Below are 16,865 nucleotides of genomic sequence, written 5' to 3' on the forward strand. Positions count from 1 at the left end.
CTTGGGGGAAATATCTGCTAATATCGATTAAATTAGAATATATGAATATTCTTGATCCAGCAAATCCACTTCTAGGTAAATGCCTGACAAAATTGTCCACTGTCAGGAAAAACTGTATGACGTTTAAAAATGCGTATACACCCACACAAAAGATTACTGTGTTTTCTGTCTAGCTCATCCTTCTGGGTTTTCTAATTTATTGGTTTTGGGCTATTTTATAACTCTAGAGGGTGTAGGAAATGTTATGCTGTACATTATTATTTTTTTCCTAGACAGGCTAATGGATTTAATCTTGTGGAATGCAACTTACTATTGTCCTGCTGATGCTGACCAGTTTAACATTTACTTATTAATTTGTTTCAGCCTTTCTGTTTTCCTATATATGGTGTATTTGAATTCTCCTTTGAGCCAAACAAACATTTTGCTTGTTTGTTAATTCATTAATGAGTTATATATGCCTTTGGCATGTGTTATTTTTATATTTGTATGGAATTCATGATTTTGCCTTTTAAAGAATATATCATTTACCACCATCATAAATGCTGCAATATTTATGGAAGCACTATTTGTAGGGGGAGAATAGGGTTAGTAGGGGGCTTGCAACTCTGTTTTATCCTCCTTAGGGACATCTCAGGCAGCTTTGACCTCTCTTAAACATACTGACGGAATTTACTAGCTGGAAGATAAACGAGGGCCTTCTGGGGTTGCTATATACCGATTTCTTACCTAAGAAAACCTTTTAGTATGCTATACCTGGTGTGTCTGGGTTGTATATTGTAAATAAACCTCCAGTGAGGATGTGCAGGGGATTGGAGTTATCACTTCATTCCTCTGAACCCAAAAAAACATACTCAGGTGGAAAACAAGGTGACCTATGGAGCTGCATCTAGAAAGAGATAAAATAATGATTGCTTTTGATATATGTCAGAGCATTTTATAAAAATTCTGTTTGACTCTCATCTAATACTCTTGGAGGTGTAACTTTGTGGTCACAGCAGATTTGACTAACAACCCGCAACTGATAAATGTGCAAGTAGTTTATGGCTCTTTAAAGTTGGAGGTTAACCAGCAAATATTGATAACATAATTTACTGTACTTCTGAGAGTCCGTCTTATGCATAATTTAGCCATTTTATTTAGACATACTTAGACATTTCTTTCTTGACTAGCTGGACAAATTCCCTTCTTTCTCAGTTCTTCCATAAGTGAACTTTGTTGTGTTCTTGATGGTTCCCTCATGGATGAGTTACATATAATTTTGAGAGTTCTGTTTTATCTCCTATTGTCCTCAAGGGCTAGGAAGAAAAGGCATTCCAATATACTCATGCAAATGAAGGTTCTATATTTCATTACATACTCTTAAATATTGTTTAAGTTTTACTATTTTAAATACTTCATTCAATAGTTTCTTAATTGAAAAACGTAACAAGTCAAGAAATACTCTTACAAGAAGACAAGTACAACATTTATCCCAATGAAACATATTCAAAAGTTAGACTTTTATGTTATTTGTAGTTAGGACCAGCATGGATTTTTTTTGTTTTTTCTTTTTGGTTAGAGTGGGAAGACAAATTTGCTTTTTAAAAGGCTACCTATATTGATTTCCTCATACTAACATTAATATTTCCCTTAACAGAACTCTGTGCCCTTGTAGGGATCAACATCTTAATGGGATTTTTGTTTATGAAAGAAAAGACTTATATGAGAACTAAGTTGCTCTCCAAATTTAATATAAAGTGGAATTTTGGAGAAAAGGTATATTTTCGTTTTCCTTTTTAATCTGACAGATTGTTAAAAACATGTCTCTGCTAGTTATAGTAGGAGTCCTGTAATTTTTATTCTGTATGAATGGACTTTGATTTTTTTAATGCCCTGTAAAAAAAAGTAGTCAGTGGAGGTCCAGTGTTCAATATGGCATGTAAGGAGCTTGAAAGTCATCACTTCATCCTAACAAAAAGTAAAATTTGAGCGATCTGAAAAACCAGCCACTCATCTCAGATCTGTCAGAGAGGTGATGTCACAAGGCAGATTTCTGCCTCAAAGTCAGAAAAAGACTGTTGAACACAAAGAATCACAACTTATTAGAGCAGAGGCTTACAGGCAGAAACCTCCACTGTAACAAGAATCAGGTTCCTTTTACCTAGTTCATCACATCTGGCTATCAAGAAAAAAATTACAAGGCATACTAAAAGGTATAAACCACAGTTTGAACAGACAGAACAAGCATGAGAACCAAATTCAGATATGACAGAGATGTTGGAATTATTAGCTCAGGAATTTAATACAACTACAATTAATAGGATAAGCGTTCTAATCAATAAAGTGCACAGCATGCCAGAACAGGTGGGCAATATAAAGGAAAGGAGGAATGCCTTTGATGGGCTCATTAGTAGACTGAACATGCTGAGAAAATAATCTTTGAACTTGAAGACATCTCAATAAAATCTCCTAAAACTAAAAAAAAAAAAGGGGAAAAAAAACCTGAAAAAACCCAGAATAGATTATCCAAGAAGTGTGGGACAACTACAAAAGGTACAATTTAAGTATAATGGGAATTTTGGAAGGAGAAAAATGAGCAAAATAAAGACATATTTGAAACAATGATGACTGTTAATTTTCCCAAATTAATGTCATCTAACAAACCATACCCCCAGGAAGCTTAGAGAACACCAAACAGAATAAATATGAAAACATGTATACTAAGGCGTATCATATTGAAACTTCAGAAAATCAAGGGCAAAGAAGAATTGTGAAAGGGATCAGAGAGAAAAATAGCTTACCTGTAGAGGAGCAAAGATAAAAATTCTATCTGACTTCTCCTCAGAAATCATATAAGCAAAAAGAGAGCACAGCAAAATATTTACAGTATTGGGAGAAAAACAACATAAAATTTTACACTCTGTGTAATTATCCTTCAAAAATGAAGGATAAATACTGTATCCAAAAATCAAAAATTGAAAAAAATTGTTGCCAGTAAACCTGCCTTGTAAGTAATATTACAAGAAATTTTTCAGAAGAAAGGAAAATTATATAAGATCAAAAACTCAAATCTACATAAAGAAAGGAAGAGCATAGGAGAAGGAATAAGTGAAAGCAAAATAAAAACATTTATTATTATTATTCTTAACTGATGTAACATATAAGAAGTTTTTCAAAATTACAGTAGCAAAAATGTATTTTATGCTTAATCAATGTATTAGATAATGTATGAAATTTTAAAATATATATGTTTATGTATAAATGAATGACAGCAATGATACAAAGGGCTGGAAGAAAGAATTATTTTGTTATTGTGAGGTACTTGCACTGTCTATGAAGTGCTATAGTTTTATTTGAATGTGGGGATGGATTCGTTGTAAGTGTATATTGCAGGGAAACCACCAAAAAAAGTTTTCTAAAATACCAGAAATATAACTGATATGCTAAGGACAGAAACCAAATCATACAAAATTCAATTAAAACCACAAAAAGCAGTAAGAGAGTAGAAGACAAAAATGGGAACAAAGAACAAAGGCAAAAATATAAGAGAGTAACAAATATATATTAATCCAGCTATATCAATAATCACTTTAAATAGCAATGGTCTAAATTTAACAACAATTAAAAAATAGAGATTGTCAGATTAGATTAAAAAACAAGACCTAAATGTATGTTGTCTACCAGAAACCTGCTGAAATTTAAACAGACACGTATAAATTAGAAGTAAATGGATGGAAGGCTGGGCACGGTGGCTCACATCTGTAATACTAACACTTTGGGAGGCCAAGGAATTTGAGACCAGCCTGGCCAACATGGTGAATTCCCATCTCTACTAAATATACAAAAAGAAAAAAAATAGCTGGGCGTGGTGGTGCACACCTAGATTAATGTAATTTGTTAGTGTCTTGTTAAGCTTTTATTAAGATAAAAAGAGAGGACACAAATTACTAACACTAGAAATAAAGGAGATACCACTGCAAATCTTAGGAACATTAAAATGATAATCAAAGGAAACTATGAAGAACTAACTCTATGTCCAAAAATTTGATAACCCAGATGAAACAAATCAATTCTTTGAAAGACACAATCTGCCAAAACTCACACAAGAAGAGATAGAGAAACTGAATAGGCCTATATCTACTAAAGAAATTGAATCAATAATTAATAAACTTCCAAAACAGAAAGCACCAGGCCTAAATTTGTCCACTGGTGATTTTTATCGAACACTTAAGAAATAATTTATATCAATTCACATGTAACAAAAAAGGAGCCCGAATAGCCAAGGCAATCCTGAGCAAGAAGAACAACCAGACAAAGAATTATAATACCAACCAGACAAAGAATTATAATACCAACCAGACAAAGAATTATAATAAAGGAAAACTAAAGACCAATATCACACGAGAGCATAGCTTCAGAAATTCTCATCAAAATATTAGCAAATCAAATCCAACCATGTGTAAAAGAACTCTACATCAAGACCAAGTGGGATTTAGCCCAAGTATTCAAGCCTGTTTCAACACTTGGAAATCAATTAATGTAATCTATCACAACACCAAGATACGATCCATGAAAGAATTAAACCTGAGCTCCTTTAAAATTAAAAATTTCTGTTCCACAGAAGACACTGTTAAAGAGAATGAGAAGACAAGCCAGAGAGAGGGAGAAAGGATTTGCAAAACACATACCTGATAAATGACTGTTATCCAAAATGTACAAATAACTTCAACAGCTTTATTGAGGTATCATTGACATAAAAATTATATGTGTTTAAGGTGTAACACTGGATGTTTTGATATACATGTGTATCATGAAATGATCACCACAATTAAGCTAATTAACACATCCACCATTCTTACATAGTTACCACATGTGTGCGTGTATGAGTGGTGAGAAGATTTAACTTAAGATCCACTACTGTCACCACCACAACAGAAACAAAGGCATCCAAATTATTGTGCACTTTCTTTGTGGCATGCATAGTGCTTAATGTGCATTTATTTAGTCCTCACAGCAACCTTATGTTTTCTTTAAAGATAAGAAAACTGGGGCTCAGAGAGTTTCAGTCATTTTCTGAAGGAAACACGGTAAAGTGTAGAGTTATGTTGTTAAACATTAATTTTAGCTGTTACAGAGAAGACACCGGCAGAAAAATTGAGCAGAGCTTAGGAAAAAAAAACAAACAAACTAAATAAAACTCAATCCTTCGCCATTTCAGGTCAGTCTTTAGTGGCTCTGATCAGTCTTTGGATACTCACCTAGGAATTGTAACCAAGTCTAACTCTTATGTGTTTTGCTGAGCATTCGCTTCCTGATTGCAGGTTTAAGAGCATCTGAAAAGTCAGTTGTCACTGTGGCTAGTTTGTAAGTCAAGGTACTACTGGGTGTGGCCTGGTTTGCCTTTAGGAAGACCACTCCTTCCTCTTCCTAGAAGCCAGCTCCTCCAGCTCAGAGCAGCCTATATCTGGAGTCAGGGTGAGTGCACCTTTAGAAAGGATACAATTTTTTTATTGTTTGTTTTGTTTTGTTTTTCTAGCTTTATTGAGGTATAATTGAGAAATAAAAATTATACATATATTTATGGTGTGCATGTCGTGTTTTGATATATGTATACATCGTGAAATGATCACTCTAATCAAACTAATTGACATATCCCTCACCTCCATGGTTACGTGTGTATGATAAGAACATTTACAATCAATTCTCTTAGCAAATTTGAAGTATACAATACTGTGTTGCTAACTATTGTTGCCATGTTGTACATTATATCTCCAGAAGTTATTCATCCTGCATAATTGAAATTTGCATTTTTTCATCAGCATTACTTGGTTTCCCCCTTCCCTTGGCTGCTGGCAACCATCATTCTACTCTGTGCTTCTGTGAATTTGACTATTTTAGATTCCACATATAAGTGAGCTAATGCAGTATTTCTCTGCATCTTTTTTTTTTTTTTGAAACAGGGTCTCACTCTGTTGCCCAGGCTAGAGTGCAATGGTGTGATCTCAGTTCACGCAGCTTCCAGCTTCTGGGTTCAAGCGATTCTCGTGCCCTAGCCTCACAAGTAACTGGGACTACAGGCATGCACCACCATGCCTGGGTAATTTTTATTTTTGTATTTGTAGTGGAGGCAGAGTTTCACCACGTTGGCCAGGCTGGTCTTGAACTCCTGGCCTCAAGTGACCTCAGCCTCCTGAAGTGCTGGGATAATAGGTGTGAGCCACTGTACCCGGCCTTGTATCTTTCTCATTTAGCTTAGCATAATGTCCTCTAGTTCCCTCCATGTTGTCACAAATGGCAGTATGTTAAGGCAGAATAATATTCCATTGCATGTATATGGCACATTTTCTTTTTTTTTTTTTTTTGAGATGGAGTCTTGCTCTGTCACCCAGGCTGGAGTGCAGTGGCACGATCTCAGCTCACTGCAACCTCCACCTGCTAGGTTCCAGCGATTCTCCTGCCTCAGTCTCCTGAGTAGCTCCGACTACAGGCACACGCCACCACACCCAGCTAATTTTTGTATTTTTTAGTAGAGATGGGGTTTCACCATATTAACCAGGTTGGTCTTGAACTCCTAACCTTGTGATCCACCCGCCTCAGCCTCCCAAAGTGCTGGGATTACAGGCGTGAGCCACCGCACCTGGCTTATGGCACACTTTGTTTATTCATCCATCCACTGAAGGACATTTAGGTGTTTTTTGTAACTTGGCTATTGTGAATAATGCTGCAGTGAACACTGGGTTGAAGATATCTCTTTGTGATCCTGATTTCCATTTCTTTGGATATGTATACCCAGAAGTGGAATTGCTGGGTCATACAGTATTTCCACTTTAATTTTTTTTAGAAATTCCATACTGGTTCCCATGTCGTTACTAATTTACATTTCTATCAACAGTGTATAAAGTTCCTCTTTCTCCATGTCCTTGCCAACACTTGTTATCTTTTGTCTTGTTGACAATAACCATTCTAACAGATGTCAGGTGATAGCTCATTATGGTTTTAATTTACATTTGTAGGATAATTAGATGTGTTGAGCACCTTTTCATATACCTGTTGGCCATATTAATTTTGCTTATTTGAGAAGTGTCTGTTTAGGTACTTTGCCCATTTTTAAATTGGGATATTTGTATTTTTAGTATTAAGTTGTATGTTTTCCTTATGTATTTTGGATATTAACCCTGTATGAGATATATGGTTTGCAAATAAATTTCCATTCTGCAGGTTGCCATTTCATTTTGTTGACTTTTTCCTTTCCTGTGCAGTATGGTACAGGCATAAAAACAGACACATAGGCAGACACAATTAAACCACATAGAGAGCCCAGAAATAAATCCACACATATATAGTCAACTAACATCTTCAGCAAGGACACCAAGCATACAGTTGGGGGAAGAATAATCTCTTCAGTAAATGGTGTTTAAAAAACTCTATGTCAACCTGCAAAAGAATGAAATTGGACCCTTATCTTACACCATACACAAAAATCAACTCAAAATGAATCAAAGCTTTAGATGTAAGACCTGAAACTCTAAAACTCCTAGAAGAAAACATAAGGTAAATACTCCTTGACATAGTCTTGGCAATGAATTTTTTTGGATGTGAAACCAAAGCACAAACAACAAAAGAAAAAATAAGTGGAAGGATATTAAATTAAAATTCTTTGGCACAGTGAAAGAAACAATCTACAAAGAACTCATTAAAACTCAACAATAAGAAAATGAACATCCCGATTAAAAATTGGCAAAAGACCTGAACAGATATCTCACCAAGGAAGATATACAAATGGCAAATAAGCATTTGAAAAGATGCTCAACATCATAAGTCATTGGAGAATTGCAAATTAAAACAACAATAAGATACCATGAAACACCAATTAGAATGGACAAAATTAAAAAACAACATGAATAACATCAAATGCTCTTGGGGATGTTGGGCAACAGAAACTCTCTTTCTTTGCTGATAGGAATGCAAAATGATACAGCCACTTTGGAAGACATTTTGCTAGTGTCTTACAAATCTAAACATATTCTTAATATGTGATCCAGTAGTCATGCTCTTTAGTATTTACCCAAAAGAGCTAAGAGCTAAAAACTTATATCCACACCAAAACCTTCACATGGATGTTTATAGACCCTTTATTTATTATTTCCAAAACTTGAAAGCAACCAAGATGTACTTCAGTAGGTTAATAAAGTATAGTACATCCAGACAATGAAATATTATTCAGCACCAAAAAGAAATGAGCTATCAAGCCATGAAAATACACGGAGGAATCCTAAATGCACATTACTAAGTGAAAGAAACCAATCTGAAAAGGCTGTGTACTTTAGGATTCCAACTATGTAAGATTCTGGAAAAGGTAAACTATGGAGACAGAAAAAACATTAGTGGTTTCCAGATCCTGGGGGGAGAAAGGGATGAATAGGCAGAGCACAGAGGATTTTTAAGGCAGTGAACTTACTCTTTATGATATTATAATGGTGGACACATGTCATTATGCATTTGCCAAAACCCACAGAATGTACATCACCAAGAGAAAACCATAATGAAAACTATAAACTTTGGATGATAATAATATGTCAGTGTGGGTTATTTGATTGTGACAATGTATCATTTTGGTGCCGGATTTTGACAGCGTGTAAGACTGTTTGTATGTATGATGACAGAGAGTACATGATAAATCTCTGTATCTTCCACTTAATTTTGTTGTGAATCTAAAACTTCTCTTAAAAGATCTCTTTTAAAACATTGGCCATTGGTCTATATATCTGTTTTGGTACCAGTACCATGCTGTTTTGGTTACTGTAGCCTTGTGGTATAGTTTGAAGTCAGGTAGCATGATGCCTCCAGCTTTGTTCTTTTGGCTTAGGATTGTCTTGGCTATATGGGCTCTTTTTTGGTTCCATATGAAATTTAGTGTTTTCTAATTCTGTAAAGAAAGTCAGTGGTAGCTTGATGGGGATAGCATTGAATCTATAAATTACTTTGGGCAGTATGGCCGTTTTCAATATATTGATTCTTCCTATCCATGAGCATGGAATGTTTTTCCATTTGTTTGTGTCCTCTCTTATTTCCTTGAACAGTGGTTTGTAGTTCTAATTGAAGAGGTCCTACACATCCCTTGTAAGTTGTATTCATAGGTATTTTATTCTCTTTTTAGCAATAGTGAATGAGAGTTCACTCATGATTTGGCTCTCTGTTTGTCTATTATTGGTGTGTAGGAATGCTTGTGATTTTGGCACATTGATTTTGTATCCTGAGACTTTGCTGAAGTTGCTTATCAGCATAAGGAGTTTTTGGGCTGAGACAATGGGGTTTTCTAAATATACAATCATGTTATCTGCAAACAGAGGCAATTTCACTTCCTCTCTTCTTATTTCAATACTATTTCTTTCTCTTGCCTAATTGCCCTGGCCAGTACTTCCAATACCATGTTGAATAGGAGTGATGAGAGAGGACATCCTTGTCTTGTGCCGGTTTTCAAAGGGAACGCTTCCAGTTTTTGCCCATTCAGTATAATATTGGCTGTGGGTTTGTCATAAATAGCTCTTATTATTTTGAGATATATTCCATCAATACCTTGTTTATTGAGAGTTTTTAGCATGAATGGGTGCTGAATTTTATCGAAGGCCTTTTCTGCATCTATTGAGATAACCAGGTGGTTTTCGTCATTGGTTCTGTTTATGTGATAGATTATGTTTATTGATTTGCATATGTTGAACCAGTGTTGCATCCCAGGGATGAAGCCAACTTGATTGTGATGGATAAGCTTTCTGACGTGCTGCTGGATTTGGTTTGCCAGTATTTTATTGAGGATTTTTGCATTGATGTTCATCAGGGATAATGGCTTGAAATTTTCTTTTTTTGTTGTGTCTCTGCCAGGTTTTGGTATCACGATGATGCTGGCCCCATAAAATGAGTTAGGGAGGATTCCCTCTTTTTCTATTGTTTGGAATAGTTTCCGAAGGAATGGTACCAGCTCCTCTTTGTACCTCTGGTAGAATTCGGTGGTGAATCCATCTGGTCCTGGGCTTTTTTTGTTTGGTAGATTATTAATTACTGCCTCAATTTCAAAACTTGTTATTGTTCTATTCAGGGATTTGACTTCTTCCTGGTTTAGATTTGGGAGGGTGTATGTGTCCAGGAATTTATCCATTTCTTCTAGATTTTCTAGTTTATTTGCATAGAGGTTTTTATAGTATTCTCTGATGGTAGTTTGTATTTCTGTGGGATCGGCTGGGAGATTCCCTTTATCATTTTTTATTGTGTCTATTTGATTCTTCTCTCTTTTCTTCTTTATTAGTCTGGCTAGTGGTCTATATATTTTGTTGATCTTTTCAAAAAACCGACTCCTGGATTCACTGATTTTTTGAAGGGTTTTTTGTGTCTCTGTCTCCTTCAGTTCTGCTCTGATCTTAGTTATTTTTTGCCTTCTGCTAGCTTTTGAATGTGTTTGCTCTTGCTTCTCTAGTTCTTTTAATTCTGATGTTAGGGTGTCAATTTTAGATCTTTCGTACTTTCTGTTGTGGGCATTTAGAGGCCTCAGAAATAACACCATACATCTACAACCATATGATCTTTGACAAACCTGACAAAAACAAGCAATGGGGGAAGGGATTCCCTATTTAATAAATGGTGCTGGGAAAACTGGCTAGCCATATGCAGAAAACTGAAACTGGATCTCTTCCTTACACTTTATACAAAAATTAACTCAAGATGGATTAAAGACTTAAGCATAAGACCTAAAACCATAAAAACCCTAAAAGAAAACCTAGGAAATACCATTCAGGACACAGGCATGGGCAAAGACTTCATGACTAACACACCAAAAGCAATGGCAACAAAAGCCAAAATTGACAAATGGGATCTAATTAAACTAAAGAGCTTCCACACAGCAAAAGAAACTATGATCAGAGTGAACAGGCAGCCTACAGAATGGGGGAAAATTTTTGCAATCTATCCATCTGACAAAGGACTAATATTCAGAATCTACAAAGAGCTTAAACAAATTTACAAGAAAAAAACCAACCCCATCAAAAAGTGGGCAAAGGACATGAACAGACACTTCTCAAAAGAAGACATTTATGCAGCCAACAAAATGAAAAAAAGCTCATCATCACTGGTAATTAGAGAAATGCAAATCAAAACCACAATGAGATACCATCTCACACCAGTTAGAATGGCAGTCATTAAAATGTCAGGAAATAACAGATGCTGGAGAGGATGTGGAGAAATACGAACACTTTTACATTGTTGGTAGGAGTGTAAATTAGTTCAACCATTGTGGAAGACAGTGTGGCAATTCCTCAGGGATCTAGAACGAAAAATACCATTTGACCCAAAAATCCTATTACTATTCTACTATAAAGACACATGCACACGTATGTTTACTGTGGCACTGTTCACAGTAGCAAAGACTTGGAACCAACCCAAATGCTCATCAATGATAGACTGGATAAAGAAAATGTAGCACGTATACACCATGGAATACTATGTAGCCATAAAAAGATGAGTTCATGTCCTTTGCAAGGACATGGATGAAGCTGGAAACCATCATTCTCAGCAAACTAATACAAGAGTAGAAAACCAAACACTACGTGTTCTCACTCATAGGTGGGAGTTGAACAATGAGAACACATGGACATGGGGAGGCGAACATCACACACCAGGGCCTTTCAGGGGTTAGGGGGCTCGGGGAGGGATAACATTAGGAGAAATATCCAATATAGATGATGGGTTGATGGTGCAGCAAACCACCGTGGCACGTGTATACCTATGTAACAAACCTGCACGTTTTGCGTATGTATCCCAGAACTTGAAGTATAATAAATTAAAAAAAATCGTGGAATAAATTTACTAGAATTCTAAAAACAAAACAAAACAAAACAGTGACCAATGCACTTTAGGAAGAAACATTTTCTGATATAACTTTAAGATTGCTTTTTTCCATTCCATGTTCTAAACTCCCTCCATTATTTGAAAAACTTACAATAAAGTTAGAAAACTCATAAGAGATTGACTCATGTCTGTTGTGCTTGGGAAATAAACCACAGGATCCATGTGTATGTTAGATGCATGGTGGTGCAAAGAGAGAAAAGTGGTTGCAGGAATTTGGGGAAAAATCTAATCAAAGATAAATCTCTACTATAATTTGATAAAATACAAAATAGACTATAACTGGGAAGATAATGAGTTTCTCTAACCATAGCCTGGGTGTATAAGACTGTCTTGCAGCTAATTGAGATTAGATCTTAGGCTATTAGAGATCTAGAGGTAAAAAGCCTTAATATTATAAGAGTGTACTGAGCCTACCACATGGAGCTAAAATCTCACATACACAGCATAAGGAAGGTTGAATAGAAACATCAAAAAGTCTCGATTTTCATATATTTAAAAAATTTTATTTTTCACTTAATCTTCAATGAATTGTTTTTAAAATCATGATATGGAATTTTAAGCTGCCTTTTCACAATGTTTTATTGATGCATATCATGTACAGAAAAAAATGCACACTTCATAATGGTGCAGGTTGATGTACAGTCACAGACCAAATCCATTTATATTGCCAGCATCCACATCAAGAAACAAACATTACCAACATTCTGGAAGGCCCCACTATGACTCCTCATAGGCACTAAACCTCAGTGACAACTAACCACTATTTAGTTTCTAAGAGCAGAGATTCATTTTGCCAGTTTTTGTCCTTTGTATAACTGGAAACATAGGGTATATGTTGTTTTGTGTCTGCCTTCTTTTGCTCAACGTTACATTTATGATATTTATCTATTTATTTATCTGTGTTAATGTATTATTGCCTTGTGGTGTTTTACCTGTTAAATGGCACAGTTTACAAATCCATTAGCATTTAGATAGTTCATAATTTAGGAGTACTATGAAAAGTGATAACAAATATTCTAGCGCATGTCTTCTGGTGAACAAATATACACATTTCTGTGATATTATACATAGGAGTGGACTTGATACGTAATTTAGGTTTGCTTATGTTCACTGTTAGTCCGTATCACCAGCAGTCATTGATGGCATCAGTTTATCCTCTCAGAGCTGTGTATGGCAGTTTAAGTTTCTTCATAATCTTGCCAACACTTTTTTTCCTTACCGAAGTAAATTTGGTAGACATGTAGATGTAATATATTGCGATCTTAATTTGCATTTACCTGATGACTGATGAAGTTGAAGATTTCCGTGTTTACTGGCCATTTAAAACTGTACAGCCATGTCATTTTGTCTATTTTTTTGTCTTTTATTGTTTTTAGGAATTCTGCATATATTTTTATGAAGCAGGTTATGCACTGGTTAACAACTTGTTGGAAGCTGGTGAGAGAGAACACCCACACACATAAGTTATATAAAAAGTGATTATTATTTACAGATAGCAAGAAACAAAAGAAGCCTAGGTTTCATTGCAGGTCAGTCCCTGAAGGCTCTGGAAAGCTGCACATGGCAGATAGAGTCTCACTGCACATGCCCCATCTGTACCACAGCTGAAAGACCCTGAAAAGCAGCCTGCCCGGGGTTTTACACCTCAGGAGAAACTGGGCACAGTGGGCGAAAGTGTTAGAGAACATCCTATTCTAGGGGGAAGCTGGAACAAAGCCTGGGTTGTTCCAGCCAGTTCCCTCTTATCTCAGGATATTGCATTCCCAGCAAAAACTGTACAGTTAATTTTGAGATCTGCAAATGAGAAAGTGGGGAGAACCAGGTCAGTCCAAGGCCACCCAAATAATTTTCCAGCAATTCTAAACACATCTTTTCTCAGATGGGTTTATAGTAAATATTTTATCACACTCTTTGACTTGCCTTTTCATTCTCTTAATGGTGTCTTTATATGAATGGCTCTTAATTTAGACATTGCCCAATTAATACATTTTTTCTTAAATGGTTTTTGACTTAGTTAAGAAGTATTTACTTCTTCTTGGTCATAGAAGTATTCTTCCAGGTATCCCTGTAAAAGCTTTTTTTGATTACCTTTCATATTTTGCTTTGCAAACTACCAGAAGTTGATTTTTGTGTATACGATACACAATAAGATATAGGTAAATATAAATTGTTTATTTTCAACACAGTGATCCACTAAACCCAGAGGTATTTGTTGAAAACCTCCTCCTTTTGCTTATAGAGTTTTGATTACTTTCAATGTTCAGTTGTCTAGTCTTGCCTAAATGCTACATCAAAATTACTGTAGCTTTTTACTAGGTTTTTATTATGGCATCACAATATGGTATGGATTTATCATCATGTGTTTAACCATTCATTCACCCATTGAAGGATATGTGAGTAAGCTGTTTCAATTTTTGGGCTAGTACAAATAAAATTACTACCAATAGTCATGTACACAGTTTTGTGTGAACATAAGGTTTCATTTCTGTGGGTTAAATGCCCAGAAGTAAACTCACTGGGTCATATTGTAGTCCCATATTTAGTTTTTGAAAAAAATTCCAAATTGTTTTACCAAGTGGCTGTCACATTTTACATCCAACTGACAATAAATGAGTGAGCCGCTTTCTTTAAATCCCCGTAATATATAGCATTATCACTATTTTCATTTTAGATATTATGAAAGGTATTTAGTGATACCTCATTGTTATTTAATTGGTGTCGAACATCTTTTCAGGTATTGCTCTTTGTATATTCTCTTTGGTTAAATGTTTCTTTGTGGGATTTTTTTTTTTTTGCTCATTTTCTAATTAGAGTTTTTTTTATTACTGTTGAGTTTTGAGAGTTCTTTATATATTTTAGAAAATAGTCTTCTGTTGTATATATGGTTTACAAATTTTTCCTCCAGCTTTGTCGTTTGCCTCATAATCTACTTAACAGAGACTTCCTTAGAGCAAAGTTTTGAATTTTGATAAAGTCAAAGGTATTTTTTCTATTCATGAATAGGGCTTTTGGAGTCAAATATGAGAACTCTTTGCCTTGCCATAGATACTGAAGATTTTATCCTGTTTATTTCTAAAATATTATAGTTCACATTTTACATTAGAGTCTGTGATCCATTTTTCTTATGATGTGTGAGACTTAGGTCAGTGTTCATTTTTTTTGCCTAATGATAGTCAATTGTTCTAGTACCATTTGTTGAAAGACTGTCTTTCCTTTATCAAATTGCATTTGCACTTATGTGAAATATCATTTGAAATTTTGTGTGGGTCTGTTTCTGGATTCTGGATTCTGTCTCACTGATCCATGTATCTACCCTCCCACGAATACCACACACTCTTGATTGCTGTAGCTGTATGATAATCCTTGATTGTGGATAGACTGATTCCTTCTACCTTAGTTTTACTTTTAAAAATTGTTTTCATTATTCTAATTCTTTTGAATTAATATATACATTTTAGAATAATCTTGCCTATATCTACAAAAGTATCTTGCTAGAATCTTGATAGAAATTGGATTAAACCTATGTATCATTTAGGGGATAATCGATGTATTTACTATATTGAATCTTCCAATCCAGGGACTTAATATGTCTCTCCATTTATTGATTTTATTTTTTATTTCTTTCATTAGCATTTTTTTTAGTTTTCAGCATTCAAGTGTTGTACATGTTTTGTTAGATTTGCGCTTAAATATTTCATCTTTGAGCTAACGTAAATAGTATTGTATTTTTAATTTTGGTGTCTACATGTTCATTACTAGGATATGGAAAAGCAATTTTCATCTTGTAGACTGCTACCTTGATGAACTTACTAGCTTTGAGAGACTGTTTTATATTTCCTGCAAAAAAGTGGACACTTCAAAAGGTCTTCCTATAAAGACCCTTCAAAAGTAAACAAAACTCCTGAATGGCTCTCCAACAAGTAAAAAAAATAAATTTGTAATTAAAAGCCTCCACATACAAAAAAAAACTCTGGATGAGGAGGGTTTATTAGATAATTCATTTAAGAAAGAAACGTTTAAGGAAGAAAGACTAGCAACTCTTTACTCCAACTACTTCAGAAAATAGAGAAAGCAGTAATAATTTCAATCTGATTTTATGAAGCCAGAAATACCTGATAAAGACATTAAAGAAAAATAAAACTCTTGAACAGTGTCTTTCAGGGGCGGGTGAATAAATGTCCTTAACAAACTATGAACAAAACAAATTCATCCATGTATTAAAAGGGAATACACAATGACTAAGTGCAGAATATTCCATAAATGCAAAGCTGATTTAACATCCAAACATATTTTAATGTAGTTCATTATATAACTGGAACAAAGATAAAGATTCATATCATGATCTCAACAGATGCAGAAAATTCATTTGAAATAATTCAACACCTGTACATAATAAAATGTCTGAGCAAATTAGAAATGGAAGGTATGGTAGCTTTGTAATATGTCACTTTGACTAGAGACCAATAATTTTTCCCCGCATTCTCTTTCCTCTATTTTTCCAGTAACATTGGGCCCAGAAGAGATATAATGTGCGTAAAGTTTGGAGGTCGGGGTGAATAAGTCATCATGTTTCACTTGTGCTAGGAAGGTAGGAGCAGGCACTTTCACAGCTGATACAACTCGTTGCTCTATTGACTCACATCATCTAAGTAGGACAGCAGCAAGACCAGCAATGGCAGTACCTTCTGCTGACTCTTCCTTCAAGTTCATTGACTTTTGGGCCAGGTGTGTGTTTAGCTTTGCAATTGCTATTGCTTTGCTATTGTATGAAAGATATTGAATGAAGGACATCAGCTTCTCCTGCAAGACACCCACATCATTAAGATTGAGAAAAATGAAAACCAACATAGGTTTCTTCCTTCCTCATAGGTTCCAGCTCGTGTTTATGGGTTACAGCTTATCCATGATAACTCTATTCACCTTTCCTCTTTCACTGCCTATTCCTTTGAGTTCAATCTCAACCATCACATACAAAGACAGAGACTCTTAGT

General features: G+C 35.0%; 1 annotated feature.

Annotated features, from left to right (window-relative positions):
• Nucleotides 11,817–11,986: an enhancer, noted in NCBI's record as "experimental_44716 CRE fragment used in MPRA reporter constructs". NCBI's record gives its function as "activates a minimal promoter by MPRAs in K562 erythroleukemia cells, with activity observed for both the introgressed and non-introgressed 16:76729336 variant alleles {active_cell/tissue: K562}" and the evidence as "EXISTENCE:reporter gene assay evidence [ECO:0000049][PMID:34662402]".

Source organism: Homo sapiens, chromosome 16 (genome assembly GCF_000001405.40).
Source record: "Homo sapiens chromosome 16, GRCh38.p14 Primary Assembly".
Taxonomy (NCBI): Eukaryota; Metazoa; Chordata; class Mammalia; order Primates; family Hominidae; genus Homo; species Homo sapiens.